At 35.7% G+C, this 20,688-nt stretch overlaps 1 long non-coding RNA gene across 1 annotated transcript in view; it reads left to right on the forward strand.

Annotated features, from left to right (window-relative positions):
* LOC112268136 (uncharacterized) overlaps window positions 1–20,688 on the forward strand; it is a 55,886-nt gene that overhangs the window by 18,564 nt on the left and 16,634 nt on the right. Inside the window, exons 2-3 of the long non-coding RNA NR_169588.1 lie at window positions 3,342–3,438; window positions 17,599–17,763. This is a non-coding gene — a long non-coding RNA (uncharacterized LOC112268136). The remainder of the gene's footprint in view (window positions 1–3,341; window positions 3,439–17,598; window positions 17,764–20,688) is intronic.

A 20,688-nucleotide genomic window follows, 5' to 3' on the forward strand; every position in this document is an offset into this window, starting at 1 on the left:
TGACGAGTTAGTGGGTGCAGCGCACCAGCATGGCACATGTATACATATGTAACTAACCTGCACAATGTGCACATGTACCCTAAAACTTAAAGTATAATAAAAATAAATAAATAAATAAATAAATAAAAGAATAGGAATTAATCATCTTATACACATTTATGAATATGTCATTGTTTAATAACCCTTCTGACAATACTCTTTAAATGACTGGATAGATGCTAATTGGAAATTTGACTGGGAATCCTCTTGAGCATTTTAGTTTTCCTGTTCTTCTATTTAAAAGGGTCACTCTTCTATTTAAAAAGAGTCACAGGAGATGGAGGTGGAGAACAAAGAGGGAGTTTAGAAATACATTGTTCTTTACAATTTGGTGCCTTGAATGACTGCAGTGTTCCCAGAATGATGTTTAAATGTGCATTCGGGAGGAGGTGGGGGAGATACAGTGGCTTCTTATGTACTTTAAGTCTTCCACCCTTTGGCATCAACACTCTCAGCTAAGGAAAGGGCTGTGTAAATCCCTGCTCACTCATTCCCAGAGCCTCTTTGAGGCATAGTAGGAGAGTGGAGAGAATTCAGAAAATGTTTTGCTGGGTCCCCTTTGCTAAAGGACAGACACATTGATTTTGCTGCATCTAGGAATCACAACCCAGCGGTGAGGGGCAACTCCCCTGATCCTCCACTGACTCTTTCATGTTGCAGATAAACTCTGTCTTTTGAGGTTATAAAGAATAGGAATAAGAGCTCAATGTGCTGGCTGCTTGAATAAACAACCTCTACCTATGATATTTCTCAGCCTCAGATGGACTCGCCACCAGTCTTTTGTCTCCAAATGTGTTCCACCTGGGAGTAATAGAAATATTTTAATCCATCTGCATGAAAATGAAGGGCATGATAAAGTTAGAATGGGTTTATTACTCAACCCCCATTTTCTTCCCACTAACTCCTCACTGAAACATTTGGCTTTGGACATGCCAGGATCATCCAAAAACTTCGTCAGCCAGGATGCTTCTGGTATGCTTAGCAGCACCCATTAGGCACCTAATCAGCACTTTACAATTTTTTAAATTGTGTCTAAAAAAACACATAACATAAAATTTACCATCATAACCATTTTTAAGTGTACAGCTCAGTAGTGTTAAGTATATTCACATGTTGTGCACTGTTCGTAGCAATGTAAAATGGTGCAGCTGCTATGGAAAACTGTATAGTGGTTCCTCAAAAATCAAAAATAGAATTACCATATGATTGCGCATTTGAATCTGAGTACATCTCTAACTTAATTGCCAAGATAGAGCATAACTCTGTGGCCTGTGGTGCAGCAGTCCCCAGGGGCAGAGATTGGAGAAAGAAAGTTTATAGTCACCCAGTTCGATGTCACTAATATCTCCCTCCTTCATACCTTATATCTATTTAGCTATTAAATTCCGTTAGATTGTCTCATCAATGTTTTTTCTTTTATCTTTTACTTCTTCTCCAATCACATAAGACTGATTGTCAAATTCTTACTCAAGAAGACAGTCTGCAAGGTATCCAAAGCATCAAAAGCAAAGGAACTGAAACAGAGAATTTGCCCATTTATTTAACATATATCATTGAACACCTACCATGTCCTTAGCACTAAGCCATATACTGAGAATGCAGTGACAAATAAAAAGAAAATGTCTCCTTGCTTTAAAGGTACTTATAGTCTAATGAAAGGCAATAAATAAATTAACAAATGAATAGTTACGTAGTATAAGTCTATGAAGGAAAGCAACAGGGAGCTACCACAGAGGATTACAGAGAAAATCCACTTAGACTACTTGGTCCTGGAAGGACCAGGCTGCATCACTGAAGCAGAGGTCCCAGGATAAGCAGCTGTTCTAAGTGCAGAAACAGGGTCAAATCCTACTGGAGGAGTGAATGAGAACGGTAGCTTCACATCACATCTGTGAATCCCCGAGTGAATGTTGGAGCTGCCTTTTCAGGGGTGCTGGTGGTGAGAACACTCAGGGCCAACCTGCTTTCCACTTGTATACCTGCACTACCTGCAGTCAATTGAGTCCTGAATTCTTTCAGAAGGGTAACCTACAGTCACAGCACTTAATTCCTTTTTTTTTTTTTTTTTTGAGACAGAGTCTCTCTCTTGTTGCCCAGGCTGAAGTGCAATGGCACCATCTCAGCTCACGGCAACCTCCATCTCCTGGGTTCAAGCAATTCTCCTGCCTCAGCCTCCAGAGTAGCTGGAACTACAGGCGTGTGCCACCACGCCCGGCTAATTTTGTATTTTTAGTAGAGACAGGGTTTCACCATGTTGGCTAGGCTGGTCTCGAGCTCCTGACCTCAGGTGATCTGCCCGCCTCAGCCTCCCAAAGGGCTGGGATTACAGGCGTGAACCACCGTGCCCGGCCTTAATTCTATTCTTAACACTAAAAGCATCTTGCCTTCAGACAGGTTTTGTTCCATGCCCAAATGACACAGACTGCCTATTTCAAGTTAAGACTCTGCTTCAAGAGAGAAACCACAGATACCTTCTCATCTTTCTTGTCCCTTCTTCCATGAACAATTAGCCACTCTATCCTGTGGTGCCACCTCAGATATGCCTTAAAGGCATCCACTGTGCTCTTTCTATTCTCAAAACCTCAGTTCCTAAGTCACATAGATCCTTATAATAGCCTCCAAACCAGGCTTCCAAATCCACTTCTGCAACATCTCTCTACCCCTCCTGCCCCAGTGCACTCTGCTCTCCACACCACCTCCAGCTTTATTATAAATTCACATACACTTAGGTGGCCCTCCTCTCCCCATCCCCTATCCTGTTAAAATATCGCATGGCTTCTTATTTGCCTTTAGTAGAACCAGAAGCCTTTGCAGCATGAACATACTGCTCTGTATCATTTGCTATTGTTTCCTGTGTGTTCACCTTGGCTTCCCACCTACATGTCTTGAAGTCATTAATACTTTGTAATGGGACTATATTTGTACCCTCCAGAGCAACTAGAATAGCAATGAGCACATTGTTTGATTAATATCAATAGCTGTTAAATTAAGCTCATTAAGTGTCCTGTTTTATTGCTAGAGTTTAGTCAGAACCATGATTTACCTTTTCATAATTAAAATAAGTAAACGTCTGCTTTATTTGACCAATTGGTTGCCTGTGGTGACTACTGTTCTCATTTTGAGACTTTGGTCATGCTATATACTAGTGGTCATTTTTTGTGAGGGTGAATGTTATCCTCACAATGAACCATCCACTCAGTTACATCAGACACTGCTCACAGAGTTCAGCAAACAAATGTGCTCTCCTTTCAAAACAGTCGGATGGAAAATAGCCTCAAGGTGTAAATCTTTTCGTTCTTTAGGTACAAAGGGGACACATTAAATGTGATCTCAAGTTTAAACTGTGTATGCTGTCAAAGAAATTCAAATGGGGGCACCTCTTATTATATTGGACCCAAGGTGAGTGTGAAAAATATACCTTCCATTGACATGATGAGAGAGAATTACTTTCTTTCTTCTTTCCACTAACGTACTCCAAGGGATTAATTCTGTGCCAGCAAAGCTCTTGGCAAATTTTCATGTTGTATCCTGAATAGTCATCAGGGGTTATATTGCACTCATACCTTTTATTAATTTCAAATATTCTGCAGTCTTAAGCCAAAATAAATAAATAAATACTAGAAACTACTGAACTTGGCAACTGTCTCCACTTGAGACCCATTAGAAAAACAACCAAGATACTCTTTAGTAAAAATTTGGTTTGGTTTGGATTTCACCATCAGAGAATTCTCTTTGATTTGTAGATGTACAATCTCATCCCAGGAAATTGCTTCAGTTTCTTCCCATCCTGAATACAAGGGAAGTAATATTTTTTTCTTTGCATTATATTTCAATCTTGTCTCTCTTAACTGTTATTTAATTTGCCTAAAATTATAATTACCAGGGGACCTAATGCATTGGATAATGAGAAAAAAATAAGTTATTATAGGTTGAAAATTATAGTCATCTAGTGTTTTAAAAATTCACTCAGAACAACTTTTAATAAGATAAATTTTTCAGTTCCTTCCCAATTATAGTGAAACCACTCACTAATCTTCACTACTGGAAAGCTAGACTTGTCACAAAAGGGAGTTGTCCTCTCCCATGTAGTTGCTCTATGTCAAGTCCCTTGCTACCTATTGCGATATCAGTTTTCCTGATATATATCCATCACCTCTCTTCCACCTACTCACGTTATTTCTCCAAAAGGAATTACTTCATTGATTTTTGGCTGTGATATTTACTCACTGTTAATAGAAAATGTCAGGATGGTAGGAAGGACTTGTTTGATATTTATAATTTTTATAAGAATCCGTAAGTCATTTTCTCTGAATTAAAAAAAAAAAAACATTCCTTTGAAATTTCAGAATGCATCTGTTACTCAACACAGAGTGTGCCTAAATCAGTACATATATTCTTACATATCATATTTATGTTCTCATAAGGCCAGATTTTTTTTAAAATGACTTCTAGTTTCTGTGCTCCCACAAATTGTATTTGTCTCCTTTGTCCACATATACAATTGTGTCTTTATTGCCTTAAATGAGTCAATTGAGATCCCAGTAAAGTTACAATACAAAAGGAGGTCTTTTGGTTTGGAAAAATGAAAACTGCCTATTACACTTATGTACGCTGATTTTTAATGGCACTTAATCAAAACTTCTAAGAGTTTTATTCTGAAAAGTTCTTATAAGAGCATAGTCTAAATCTTTCTTAGCTATATTCTTATTAAACTTAGAGTGTTATTATATCCATGTAAGTTCTGGTTAAATTATGTTTTGATTATGACTAATAGTCACAAGTATGGTAAAGGGTATCCATAGGTGGAGAAAGAGGGTACTAGGAAGCTGAGAGGTGGAAAGAGTGGGAGTAATGAGGGGCAGGTCTGCTTGTTCATTGTTTATCTCCCTATAGGATAGAGAGGGGTCATAGGGTCAGGCTTCCTCCTTATTGCCATTCCCATTTCTTCACAACTGGGGAGACTCAACTGCAAACATGGCTTATTAAGGAATCACCAGGAGAAGTTAGCCATGAAAAGGAAGAACATGGCTGCTGTTGACATGTGATATCTCAGTGCTGGGCATGAAGTAGGTTTTCCTTCATCATCCACCTGGAAATGTGTGGTGTATGCACAGCATGTGTTATTACTTTGGCTTAGATTGCGGGAATAATGATAGGTTTGGTGGGGAGGCTATTAAAGAGAAGTAAATTCTCCTTCTTTCTTCTTGTTCTGAAACAGTTTAATAAGTCATTTTTGCCTGGGGGATAAAAATAAAAGATGGAAAATTCTTTTTAGCAAATAATATGTTACAATTCATTTCATGTTTCTATTATAAAACAAGAAGCAATTTGACTAAACAAAATCTGGAACTGAAGTAGTTTATGATGGTGCTTTTTTTTTCACCTTTTATTGACAGAAAGCTATTTTGGAAACATTGAGAATTTGAATAATGTATTTGTCTGAATTAACAAATTATTGTTTAAATGTTTAAAATAGCATTTTATTACAATTATGATTGCCTCAAACAGGTAGGGAATTTCACAAATGAATAGGGAAACAAAAGAATGTTACATGGACCATTTATTTTCTAATAGTTGTAGCTGAGAAATGAAATTTGTCTGTTGACTGTGGGTGGTGAATGTTGCCATAGCAACCTATTCCTTAGGCAAAACTGGAGGGTAATCATTGTGACGAGGGTAAAAGTCAGAAAGCTGACTTGTGAAGATATATTTTTGGGCAATGTGAGATCATGAATATTTTTTTCTAAGATACGTGTGGGAGAGCAGCTCTGGAAGAGTTAAAGGTCTTAGGTGAGAGGTGCTGGGTATGCTTTGGCTTAAGCATTTTATCATTATGGGGACCGATGATTTTGGTTCATACAGTGATAAGTCTTGCATTTGCTAGCTGCAGCACCAGCCAAAGGGAGAAATAATTGAGACTATTTTCTCATACGTAATAATAACAGCAGGAGCTCATACCTATTTCACCAGGTGCTCTTCTGAGTACCTTACACATATTATTTATTGTAATCTTCACAAGGAACTCCAAAGTAATATTGTTAATTACATTTTATAGATAATGAAACTGAGGCACAGGAAAGTTCATTAACTATCTTAAGGTCATTCAGTTGATAAGTGACCAATAGAAATGGAACCCAGACCATGATCTCTGAGTCAGTGCTGCCCTAGCTCTTATGTTTTGCTGCCATGCAATGTGATTAAAAAGCATGATGTGAATGATGGGAATACATCAGTTTTTGAGAGGAGGTTCTACTTTTTATTTCCTCAGAAGTTAATAATTACCTTAAATGAAGAGAGGATCCTAGCAGTAAATCCTTGAGTGAAATAAACCATAGAGGCTTTCTCCCTATTGGGAATTTTTAAAAGAAATCGTGTGTGGGAAGGACAAGTTGGGGACTATTGGATTGAAACTATCCCAGCTCTTAAGATCTGTCAGTAGAACCTGCTCTGCAAGTGTTGGGTAGAAGGTCTATGGCCATGAATGTAATTCCCTGAATTCATGACCCTCCTCTAGGAGACCAAGGCAAGCCATTTTAACCCTTCTCCTTCAAAAATGAAAAATAATAGTTTACATTCCCACCAGTAGGGTAGAAGTGTTCCCTTTTCACCACATCCACGCCAACATCTATTATTTTTTGATTATGGCCATTCTTACAGGAGTGAGGTAGTTTCACACTGGAGTTTTGATTTGCATTTTCCTGATCATTTAGTGATGTTAAGCCTTTCTTCATATGTTTGTTGGCCATTTGTATATCTTCTTTTAAGAATTGTCTATTCATGTCCTTTTTGATGGGATTGTTTGTTATGTTCTAGGTAATTTGAGTTCTTTGTAGATTCTGGATGTTAGTCCTTTGTCGGATGTACAGATTGTGAATATTTTCTCCCACTCTGGGAGGTAAATGTCCATTTACCCTGCTGACTGTTCCTTTTGCTAGTACAATCACTGTGGAAAACAGTGTGGAGATTCCTTAAAGAACTAAAAGTAGAACTACCATTTGATCCAGCAATCCCACTACTGGGTTTCTACTCAGAGGAAAATAAGTCATTACACGAAAAAGATTCTTGTACATGCATGTTGATAGCAGAATTGCAAAAATATGGAACCAGCCTAAATGCCCATCAATCAACCAGTAGATAAAAAATTGTGAGATATATATATATATATATATATATATGATGGAATACTACTCAGCCATAAAAAGAAACAAATTAATGGCATTCGCAGCAACCTGGATGGAACTGGAGACTATTATTTTAAGCAAAGTAGCTCAGGAATGGAAAACCAAATATTGTATGTTCTCACTCATAAGTGGGAGCTAAGCTATGAGTATGCAAAGACATAAGAATGATACAATGGACTTTGGAGACTCAGAGGAAATGGTTGGGGGCGGTGAGGAGCTAAAGACTACAAATTTTTTTCAGTGTATACTGCTTCGGTGATGGGTGTACCAAAATCTCACAAATCACAACTAAAGAACTTACCCATGTAACCAAATACTACCTGTTCGCCAAAAACCTATGGAAATAAAAAATAATAAAATAAAATAAAATCACTGAACTATCTGCAAAAAAAAAAAAAGGAAAAGAATGGCTGGATTTGTTGCAGAGGTATTACAAAAATCAAATGATGCAATGAAAATGATTCGTAAACTCAACAGAACAGAGCAAACACAAAGAGAGTATTATTAGAGCTAATGACCTTCAGCATTATTTTCAGATTTTCCAGGCTTTGATAATAAGTGTGTATGTATTTGCTTATCTAGGGAGGATGTGAGACTGGAATCTGGTTTTAAATGGCAAACCATTCTTTCTGGAAGGTTATTCAGAGTATAGAGAAGGAAATCTATTTAAAATGAATTCGTAGGACCATGCTAAGAGCTAACATGTATTGATGGCTTACCACATGCAAGTCACTGTTCTTAGCACTTTTGTCTGCTTTAATTCATATATTCTCTACAATAATTCCATGTACTAGGTACCATTTCTATTTTCCCAACATTTATAGATGAGAACCTAGAGAAGATAGATATAAAGTAAACTTACCCAAGGTCATGGAGCTACAAATTTCAAATCCAGGTCTCAAAACCTGGTGCTTAACTCTGGAGTCAATCCTCGTAACTGCTATACTGTATTACCCTTTATTATGTATTATTATTTCATAAAAAATTGGTGTAAATGTGATGCATCAGCCTGTGTGTGTGTGTGTGTGTGTAAATTTTTGTTTATTTTTAGTTAAAAAAACTCTTCTAAACTGTTTGGGCAATACATATGTTTAACTACTAAGATAACAGGGAACATTAACTCAATAAAATGTGTAATTTTAAAAATATTAGTTATTTCACAGATGGACAGTTTTGTGAAAGTGTCATAAGAAAAGAGTAGTAAAATCCTGGCTAAGAAGCCTAGGTTATGCCATCATCCATTTAATGTATTTATGCAGCAGATCTGAATGCCAAATATTCCTGGGAGGAAAGGATACATCTGCCATTATGTTTGTTTTCTGGGAGCTTTCAGTCCAGATGTGGAAATAGGATGTGTGCATGGTAGGAAAAGGTAGCAAACAAGAAGTTCATGTAAAATGCTAAAAGCCTTCAAAGGGATATAAGTACTTCTGGTGGGATTGGGGGTGAGACATGAGCATGGCTTGTTTTTCTCCCTTTTGTCTATAAGTAACATTATTATTTGCTCCATTATATACTCCATTAACTTTATTGTTAACATGTATTACAGGTTACTAACTTACTATCTTATGGATTCTGCCTATGTCTCATAAGCTATTTGTTTACTCATTATACTTAAGTATTATACACCATGACTTTTACTTACATTTCTGATGTGGTCTGAATGTTTCTGCCCCTCACCCCTGCTCCCAAATTCATGTGCTGAAACCCAATTACCAATGTGATGGTATTAGAAGGTGGGGCCTTTGGGATGTGATTAAGTCAGGAGGGCAGAGTGACCTTATAAAAGAGGCCCAGAGAGCTGCCTTGATCCTTCCACCACCTGAGGACACAGCAATAAGGTACCATTTATGAAGCAGGAAATGAGCCTTCACCAGATACCAAATCTGCCAGCATCTTGCTCTTGGACCTCCTAGCCCACAGAACAGTGGGCAATACCCAGTTTATGGTATTTTGTTACTGTAGAATAAAGACAAGGTCATAGGCTATCAACTTTATCTATACTTAACACTTCTTTTGCATTTCACCATCTTGTTTGTTTTATAGTCTTTTATCACAAAATTGAATATTCTCAAATAATACAGCAAACTTATATTAGAAGGTTTGATGTGACATGATCTGTCTTCAGTGCTTATGTAAAGTTTACCTGGGAAGCCACACAATATAAAGACTGAAGAGAAGGAAGCTAAGGATAGAACTTATGGGAATGTCCACATACAGCAAAAGGGGAAGGAAGGTGAGCCAAAATTCCAATGTCATTTTCTTTGTAGATGTGTAAAAAACAATCTAAAATTTGTATAGAACCAGAAAAAATCCCAAACTGACAAAGCAATCTTGAGCAAAAAGAACAAATCTGCAAGCATCACATTCCTTATTTCAAAATATATTATGAAGTGACTGTAATCAAAACAGCATGGTGCTGTCATAATAACAGATACCAACCAATAACAGAAACCAATGGAACAGGATAGAAAGCCTAGAAATAAACCCAAGTCTTTATGGTAAATTTATTTTCACTAAAAGTGTCAAGAACACACAATGGGAAAAGGACAGTCTCTTTAGTAAATGGTGCTGGGAAAACTGGATATTCACATGCAGAAGAATGAAATTGGACCCTTATCTCGCACCATTTACAAAAATCAACTCAAAATGGATGAAAGACAGCATGGAAGACCTAAGAGTGTAAAGCTGCTGGAAGAAAACATGAGAATAGGAGAGACAACATTGGTATGGGAAATGATTTCTTGGATAGGACTCCAAAAGCACAGGCTACAAAAGCAAAAATACACAAATGAGATTACATCAAAATAAAACTTTTCTGCAAAGAAATAAAAATTAACAGAGTAAAAAGACATTCCATGGATTGGAAGAATATATCTGTAAACTGTACATCTGATAAGAGACTGATATAAAAAAATAGGAACTGAAACAACTTAATAGCAAGAAAGGAATAATCTGATTTTAAAATGGGCAAAGGATCTGAATAGACATTTCTCAAAATAAGAGTTAAGAAGGGCGAACAGATAAATGAAAAACTGCTCAACATCTCTAATCATTACGGAATTACAAATCTAAACCACAATGAGTTATCATCTCACACCTGTTAGAATGGCTATTATCAAAAAGACAAATGAGAAGTGTTGATATAGGAGAATCTTGTACACTGTTGGTGGGGATGTAAATTAGCATAATCATTTTGGAAAACAGTATAGGGGTTCCTCAGAAAACTTAAAGCAGAATTACCATCAGCAATGCCACTTCTGGGTATATATCCAAAGGAATTGAAATTGGTATGTTGAAGTGATATCTGCACTCCTATGTTCATTTCAGCATTTTTACAAGAGTCAAAATATGAAAACAAGCTGAGTGTCCAACCTAAGAATGCATAACAAAAATGTGGTATATATACACAATGCAATACTATGCAGCTCCCCCATAAAGAAGGGACTTCTGTCATTCAAGACTATGTGAATGGAACTGGAGGGCATTATGTTAAGTGAAGTTAGGCAGGCACCAAAAGACAAATACTATATGATCTCACTTGTGTGTGAAATATAAAAAAAGTTGATCTCATAGAACAGAGAGTATAAATTGGTTACCAGAGGATGAGGGGCAGGGTAGTAAGGAGGCAGAGAGATGGGGACAGGGAAGATTTTCATCAAATAGTACAAAGTTTCAGTTAGACTGAAGGAATAAGTTTTAGTGATCTATTGTACTGCATGGTGACACCAGTTAATGATGCATATTTCAAAATTACTAAAATAATAGATTTTTAACATTCTTATGAAGAGGGTAACTTGGTGAAGTGATGGATATGTTAATTATCTTGATACATAGATGCATCAAAATGTAAACATAGATCAAAAATCACATTGTACCCCATAAATATACACAATTATTATTTGTTAATCCAAAAGGAAGGAAGGGGGCAAGAGAGGAGAGAGGAAAGAAAGAAAAAGAGAAAGAAAATAAAAAAGAAAGAAAGAAAGAAAGAAAGAAAGAAAGAAAGAAAGAAAGAAAGAAAGAAAGAAAGAAAAAGAAAAAAAGAGAGAAGAGAGAGAAAGGAAGGGAGGGAGGGAAGGTAGGTCAGAGAAGCAGGAGAGCCAAGTTTTGTTTTTGTTTTTTAAGGATCATGAAAACCAAGGGAAGATGTTTAAATTTAGGATATGCTGAAACTGTGAGATTAGGGAATCAAACCAAAAGAGTCCCTGAAGATGCTGGTAGAGGAGAAGCCTTTCCCAGAAGATAGAATCTCTGTGGAAGCTTTGACCATATCCTGGCTGTCAGAGAACAATGGCAATAAGCAATGAGTGGTATAAGTGAGGAGTATGGACTTGGGATGATGTATAACACGGAGGTCAAATGCACAGGTGTTGACATCTATTGGATAAAGTCCCAGCTGGCAGTTTGACGTTGGACAATTTAACCTCTAAAAAGACTCAACTTCCTTAATTGTAATAACATAATAATAGTATTTGTAGGGCTGTTGTAAAGCACATAAAAGTAAGAACCTAATACATTATAGCTATTATTTTTATTTCTATTTTAATAGATATTAGGGAAAAAATGTTAAGAATATAGAAAATTCATTCATAACTAAAGAAGAGGATTTATTTCACAGGACACAGCAAAGAGGTTAATAGAGTGTAAAATACAAATACAGAGGGAAAGATCTAGGCTAAATGTGGGGAAAGGCAGTGGCCAAAGAGTTGATAGTCTGATTATCCAAAGCTAGATCTCAGGGTGGGCTGGTCCTACCTATTTCCCAGTTCTTACATAATTTCATTAATGTGTATGCCTGGAAAAAGATGACTAAATAAAATACCAATAACTCTATTTTTGGGTCAGTGCCAGTAGGGAGAGGCACAATCATTTGGGCATAATTTTATCAGTGGGAGGTCTGGGAATGAGTTTGGATGCAGTCCTTTTCAGGTATTGTGAAATTTCTTAGTAAGGAGAAAAAATTTAAAACATAAACTAATTCATGAAATCCTCTTATTAACTGTTACTGTGATAAAAATCTATGTTACAAAATTATACACAAGGTTAAAATCATAGACCATTCATTTGTGCTTAAAAAATGTTTAAGAGCACAAATCCATTGATTCCTTTGGAAATGCAAAATAAAATTTAACCTTGACTTAAAATTTATTTCCATTCCCTTCTACCATGTTTCTTTCCATCCACTACAATTCAGTCTTGCTGGTTTAGTTATGAGAGGAGGAGGGGTAACAGCAGGATAGCAAGGCAGATGCAGTGTGGTATGAATTGAAGGATAAAGTTATGTTTGAGATAATGCAAGAACAATACGAGGACAGAGTTACTGAAACACATTTGAATCAATGTAAAAAATTAGCATATTATTACTGGACCCATTGAATAGCTCAAGGAACCTATTGAACTAGAGAAATGCCACTTAAACAAGAACATCTTGTTTTCTGGTAGAAAAGGGACAAAGATTCAACACGGTATGCCAATCAGAGAAAATGTGCAATTTATATAGATGAGAACTTGATTCTTTCTAGACGCATGATAGGTAAGAAAATTTGGGCCGGGCGCAGTGGTTCACACCTATAATCCGAGCACTTCGGGAGGCTGAGGCGGGCGGATCACCTGACAGGAGTTTGAGACCAGCCTGGCTAACAGGGTGAGACCCTGTCTCTACTAAAAATACAAAAATTAGCCAGGCATGGTGGCACGTGCCTGTAATCCCAGCTAGTCTACTCGGGAGGCTGAGGCAGGAGAATCACTGGAACCCGGGAGGCGGAGCTTGCAGTAAGCCGAGATCGCGCCACTGCACTCCAGCCTGGGTGACAGAGCAAGACTCCGTCTCAAAAAAAAAAAAAAAAGAAAGAAAAAGAAAATTTGAAGATGAGTAAGATCTTTCTCACGATATGTTCTGCTATTAACTAGGAAGAAATGGGAAAAATAGACCCCCACTTTCACCAGTATGCGAAAATTTAATTATAGTCAAAGAAAATTTGGTATACGTGCACAATGAAATACTATTCAACCATTAAAAAGAATGAAATCCTGTCATTTGTGCCCACATGGATAGAACTGAAGGACATTGTGTTAAATGAAATAAGCCAGGAACACAAAGTTAAACACCACATGTTATCACTCATATGTGGAAGCTAAAAAAGTTGATGTCATAGAAGTAAAAAGCAGAACAGAGGGTACTAGAGGCTGGGCAGGGTAGGGGGAAGGGAGGGCTAGGGAGAGATTTGTTAAAGAATGCAAAATTACAGCTAGATAGGAGGAATAAAGTATAGTGTTCTCTACCACTGTAGGATGATTTTAATTAGCAATAATATATAGTTTCAAATAGCAGATGGAGGATATTGAATGTTCCCAACACAAAGAAATGATAAGTGTTTGAGATTATGGATGTGCTAATAACCTGGATCTGAGCACTATACATTATACGCATTAAAATGTCACTATGTACCCATGAATATGTACAATTATCATTTGTCAAATTAAAAAATAAATTAGTCAATAACCACACAATGGAGGCTCTTATGGTAAACATTACCCATTTTTAAGTATTTTTCTAATAATTATATTCGAAAGTATTTAAAAAAGTATAAACACAAGTTACATCCTGTATCCTGGAATATCTGGTTAAATATACATTAAAACTCCTTTAATTTGCACTTTGTCTTGCTTTTGCAAAATGGGAGGCAGTGTAACATGCCCTTGTGAAAAAAGGAAGTAAATATTTGATGTGAAAAGAAAACAATTTTTAACCTAATAATAAAGAATAATAAATATTTTTAGATATAATTTTGGTAGGGTCATGTATATTCAAAGTATAAATATGTAAATCACATAAACTATTACTAATAGCATACTCTTTCCTAGAGTCACTGAATTGATCAAACCAAATAATTTCTGAAAGCATCACTGATCTGGTTTGATAAGGTAACATGGGGTGGGTAAGTAGGGCAATGGGAAATGTTATTTGGTATTAAAATTTCAAATAACTGAAAATCTGGATGATATATGAGAACCACATCTTTTCCCTTTAAATTTGTTTTCTATTTCATCAGGTTGTACAGGCACAGACTTAAAGTCAAAAACTGTAACTAGGCTTGTTACTAAACCGGTACTCCCCAACTTGCTCTCCAGTTACATCTTTGTATTTCCATATTGACTTCTACATCTTTAAGTAACATGTTTACATTTTAACCTCTTGATTTTCCAATTTTAGACTTAGAAAAATGAAGACTAACTCCTTTTCAGTTACCACCTACTACATACATGCACCACCTCCCTGACTCTTGTGTCCCAGTAGAGTTCTACTTTTGATTTTAGAATCATTTCAGATTTTCAGAAAACTTGCAAGGATGGTACAGAGAAGTCATATGTACCTTGCACCCAGTTTTCCACATGTTAAACCTCCCCTTAGCTCATTAGGTATACTGGTGTTCTGTTCTTTCCTTCTCAGAGAGGCCTCTTAAAGCCTCATAATCTGCTCCAATATAGATGGATTAATCTCAGAGCCTACTAGAGCTCTGTAGTCTTGGAACCTTCATTCATATTTGTGTTCTCTTGCTTCCTGGACACACACACATACACACACTCTCTCTCTTTCCCTCTTTGTTTACTCCCTCATTTTCATGGAGCACATCCTCTAGAAAGACCTTGCATGTCTTAAAATGACTTTATTTTACTCTCATATTTAGTTGATATTTGTTTGGGTATGAAATTTCAGGAAAAAAACCCCACAAATGTCCTTAGTATTTTGAGGCATTATTCAATTGATTCTAACCTTCATTTGTTGTCCTCGTGATATCCAAGCCATTCTTAATTCTTCTTACAAAACCTACTTTTTCTTCCTTGATACTTTTAGAATCTTGTGTCCAACTTTATCTTCCAACTATTTATTGAGTCTTTTAAAAATTCTTACCTTATTTTTAATTTCTAATGCCTCTATTCTTTGAATGCTATAGGAAGTTTGTCAGCAAACTTTAGAAAATTAAAAGCAATGAACTAAACAGTTTATTGAAAGCTCTGTGTGTGCAAGCATGTGGCTTATTGTCTAAGGGCTTTTCTGTAGAGTGGCCTGTATGATAGAAACTCCACTGTCAGTAATTTTTGCTCTTTTCTCTTGACTAGTTAGACTAGTTAGAGTCCTCAGTGAATGTGCTTCTAATCTCCTACCTGGGAGACAAAAGCCTGGCTGCTCACCCACTATGTTACTGTATAGTCTTTCAGTACAGAGAGAGTGTATTTTATATTCTGGAGATGTTAAAACTCCCAGGGCAAGGAAGAAACTGTTGTCTAGCTGCACAAGAAAGTAGAGAGAATCTGAAAACCAAACTCTTTTTTAAAAAGACTTTCGGCTGTAATTTAATTTTTAGCCTGTATCTCTCCCGCTCCCATCTGCAGGGGTTACTGGTATCATTAATGTGGATCCTTTTTGAGTTCTTTGGTATAAAATTAAGTTGCTTTTCAGATGCTCACTGCTAATTTAGTATTTAGCTTTCTAGTCCATCTGCTTTCCAGTTTCCAAAAATTTATCATGATTGTGTTCTCTCCTATTATCTTTGTCCTTGCTATGCTATCTAAAAAAATCCTTTTATTGTTGTCTTACTGGGGTTTAAATGAGGAATGGAAGCTAATGCATATGTTCAACCTACCATTTTAACAAATGTAACCCTGTTATTATTAATCCAATTACAGCCGATATGTTAGATAGGGAAAAAATTCATATCTTCATAGCCATTTCCTCTCATTTGAAGGGAGATCAGGGCAAAAATTAGAATATATGCATAATATTTAATAATTTTAGGTTTGTCTAAGACCCCAAACCGGATAATTCTAAGTCCATAAATCTTTCCTAACTGTTTAAATTCCAATTTATTTCAGCGTCATGAGTCATTAAAGCAGAGAGTTCGTGAGAGAGGAAAGCAGTTGGCTCATGTTCCAAAACAACTCTGAGTGTTTACTGGACTTCAGGAAGCTTATCTTGGTACACTCAGATCAAAGCTATTCACACAATGACTGAATAAACACATTGGCTAATGATGATGGCAAAGATTCTGATACGATACTAAGGAAAATACAAATACTAGGACAAGAAAACTTTGAAAAGCATTAAGAATTTAATTGGGAAGTAAACCTTTTCACTTCATGGGAACGAGTGTGCTAAGTCATCAATCTAAGCATGTGCTGGTGTGAATTGCATAACTGCAACTCTTATTAGACAATTATTATTTGAATACTTATTCTGGTATATTCTCCTAGGCTATCATATCACTTTTAAATAATACATTTAAAATTATTGCAGTAAATATGTATTTATGACACAAGATTGTAATTGTCATTGGCATTAAGTTAGTCAGTGTCTAGATTGTTTCTTTAGATTCTTTATATCAAAACAACGTGTTAACAATGGGATGAAAGAAAGTAGCTTCCAGTTTCTGAATTGGAGATTTTTCTTTGCAGGATTTTTAATGCTATTGTTCTTTTTTAAAAAGTGGAAGTATGTCTCATCTTAGAATAATTATGCTGTGCTCTAGATGTTTGTCCTTGGGAAAACTGAACTTACAGGTAGGGATTAAAATAGAAGCAACTTCCTAGAAGGGCAATTTTTAAAGTGCTTCCAAAGAGTTAATATCCTCTAATTTTTTATTTCAAGACCTTTTTTCTTGCCTCAGATGAGAACCTTTCTAAATGCATTCTACAAAAGATTTTATACTTTTTGGTATAGGAATCTAACATCAGAAAACTCCCAAATGAAGCTGTACTTCCCTTCACCATTTTTGAAGTGCAAATCTGCACTTTGATATTTTTCTGCCGATGAGAAACAAAAAAGTGGGGGTGGGCACATTAAAGATAGCTTTTATGTCAAATGTTAGGTGGAAGGTCTCTTGGAAATCATGAGTCAGATAACTGATTCAGGGGGAGAAATCAGGACTCTCTGTGCCCTTGCAGATCACACTGATGTTAGTAACTTTGAGTCCATTATCTTGGAATCTGCTCTGATACCTTCTGCAAATGGCCACTGAAGTATTTTGATAAATGGGATTTTTCTTGTCTATTTTTAAGTGGTGGTGAAGAGAAATGTTAAATTGCCATAGAGACTGACTATGGGGTGGAGCCCCAGATATAATGCATGTAGCTGCCAAATTTGGAGGTATCTTTTATTAAAGGAAATTATTTGAAGAAACATTCAGATGATTCTAGCCATACTGAGTCACCCTAATCACTGAATCTTCCTAGCTGAGGCCTCAGACATTGTAGAAGAGAGACAAGGATTTCTGAAAAAAAAAAAAAAAATCATCACTGTTTAAGCCACTAAAATTGAAGTAATTTGTTGCACAGCAGTAGCAACTGGAGTAACTGCTTATATTATTTTTCCTTCTAGTAGCTCTGTCACTGTCTTCCCCAAACAAGGCTGAAGCTGTGCTGCATATTCTTACCTAGCCTAGGAAGTCATAAAACATCACTCTGCTTCATTCTGTTGGATACTGATGAGTCAAAACTTGCCATTTTCAAAGGAAAAGAATGCAGACACCTCTTAAAAGAGCAGGTGAGATGGGAAATGCATTGTGGCTATCTTTGGAAAATACAATCTGTCACCTGAATCATTAACTAGATCATGGCACATCCAAATGTTGGAATATAAGAAACTGAGGAAACCTGCTTAAAAAGTACTTAATGATAAGGGTTGTTTCTGTTGCAATTTTAAGTAACATGGGATATAAATATAACGGTGTTTTAAAGGTGGAATTAAATGGAATAAGAGAAGATAAGGATCCAGTACTATTCCTCAGTAAATATGAATATTCACAAAAATCATAAGTGAATAAATGTCTGCAATAGTATAATATGTCAAATAAGCATGAGAATAAAATATGAAAGCTGAATAGATTAGTACTAATTAAAAACATTTAAATAATATTTAAAGATTTTGCCAAAACCTAAAATATAATAAATGAAAAGATATGCTTAACCAAGCCAGTTAAAAAAATTATTTCTATTTCAACAGTTTTTGGAGTACAGGTGGTTTTTGGTTACATGGGTAAGTTCTTCAGTGGTGATATCTGAGATTTTGGTGCACCTGTCACCTGAACAGTGTATACTGTACCCAATATGTAATCTATTATCCCTCACCTCTCTCCCCGTCTCCATCATTGAGTCCCAAAAGTCCATTATATCATTCTTATGCCTTTGCATCTACATAGCTTAGCTCTTGCTTATAAGTGAGAACATATGATATTTGGTTTTTCATTCTGAGTTACTTCATTTAGAATAATGGCCTCCACCTCCATCCAAGTTGCTGCAAAAGACATTATATCATTCCTTTTTATGGCTGAGTAGTATTCCATGGTGTATACATATCACATATTCTTTATCCACTCATTGATTGATGGGCACATAGGTTGGTTCCATATCTTTGCAATTGTGAATTGTGCTGTTATAAATGCACGTGCATGTATCTTTTTCATATAATAACTTATTTTCCTTTGGGAAGATACTTAGTAATGGGATTGCTGGATTGAATGGTAGTTCTACCGTTAGTTCTTTAAGGAATCTCCATACTATTTTCCATTGTGGTTGTTCTAATTTACATTCCCACCAGCAGTGTAAAAGTGTTCCTTTTTCACCACATCCATGCTGACATCTATTGTTTTTTGACTTTTTAATTATGGCCACTCTTGGAAGAATAAGGTGGTATCTCATTGTGGTTTTAATTTGCATTTTCTTGATGATTAGTGATGTTGAGCATTTTTTCATAGGTTTGTTGGCTGTTTGTATATCTTCTTTTGAGAAATGTCTATTCATGTCCTTTGCCTACTTTTTGATGGGATTATTTGTTTTTTTCTTGATATTTGTTTGAGTTCCTTGTAGATTCTGGACACTAGTCCTTTGTTGGATGTATAGTTTGTGAATATTTTCTTCAACTCTGTGGCTTGTCTGTTTACTTTGCTGATTATTTCTTTTGTTGTGTAGAAGCTTTTTAGTTTAATTAGGTCCCATCTATTTATTTTTGTTTTTGTTGTGTTTGTCTTGGTGTCTTAGTCATAAATTCTTTACCTAAGCCAATGTCCAGGAGAGTTTTTCTGATGTTATCTTCTCCAATTTTTATGATTTCATGTCTTAGATTTAAGTCTTTGATCCATCTTGAGTTGATTTTTGTATAAAGGGAGAGATGGGGATACAATTTTATTCTCCTACATGTGGTCTCCCAGTTTTCCCAGCACAATTTATTGAATTTTCTCCAATTTATGTTTTTGTAGGCTTTGTTGAAGATCAGTTGGCTGTAAGTATTTGGCTTTATTTCTGGGTTCTCTATTCTGTTCCATTGGTCTACATGCCTTTTTCTTTTTATACAAGTACCATGCTCTTTTGGTAACTATAGCCTTGTAGTACAATTTGAAGTCAGGTAATGGGATGCCCCCAGCTTTGTTCTTTTTGCTTAGTATTGCTCTGGTTATGTGGGCTGTGTTTTGGTTTCATATGAATTTTAGGATTTTTTTTCTAGTTCTGTGAAGGATGATGATGGTATTTTGATGGGAATTTCATTGAATCTGTAAATTGCTTTGGGCAGTATGGTCATTTTTACAATACTGATTCTTCCTACTCAAGAGCATAGAATGTGTTTCCATTTGTTTGTGTCATCTATGATTTCTTTCAAAAGTGTTTTGCAGTTTTCCTTGCAGAGATCTTTCACCTCTTTTATAACCAAGAAACTTTTACAGGCGATTTCCATCAAACACTCCAGGAACAGATAATCCCTGTATTTTACAGTTGCTTCAAATTTTTTTAAAAAAGCTATTTGAGCATTTTATGAGGCCAGTATAACTTTGACTTTCAAACTAGATGAGTATAGTACAAAAAGAAAAATAAATCCAGATGTCTAATTCATTAACACAATGAAAAATTCTAAATAATTAGTTAACTGAATGTAACAGAATTTTTAAAATACACACTGTAATTATTAGAGATTATTTCAGGAATGCAAGGGTGATTCAAAATTAAGAAAATTTATCAATGTCACTTATCAAATATATATCAATTAATGCAGAAAAGGCTTTTGATGTAGTTTAATATTTCACTGAGACAAAAATTCAAAATCAAGGAATTGAGTTAAACTTCCTTAACTCAATAAAACCTCTACACCAAGCCTACAACAAATTTTACAACTAACAATAAAAAATAGACACATTTCTTCTAAGTTAGAGAACAAGACAAGGGAGTCTGCCGTCTTCACAAAGCTTCAACATGGTATAGTCAGGACATCCAGGTTAATTCAGCAGGAGAACAAAGAAGGAAGACATAAAAATTTGAAAGAAAATGACAAAACCATCATCATTTGCAAATATTTAATTATCCACATAGAAAACCAACAAAATCAATAATAGAGTTAATAAGAGTTTAGCAAGTTTACTAACAAAATATTTTCTTATTAAAATCTACCATATTTCTATCAATAATAACCAACTGCAAATTA

This window comes from Homo sapiens, chromosome 14, assembly GCF_000001405.40.
Source record: "Homo sapiens chromosome 14, GRCh38.p14 Primary Assembly".
Classification (NCBI taxonomy): Eukaryota; Metazoa; Chordata; class Mammalia; order Primates; family Hominidae; genus Homo; species Homo sapiens.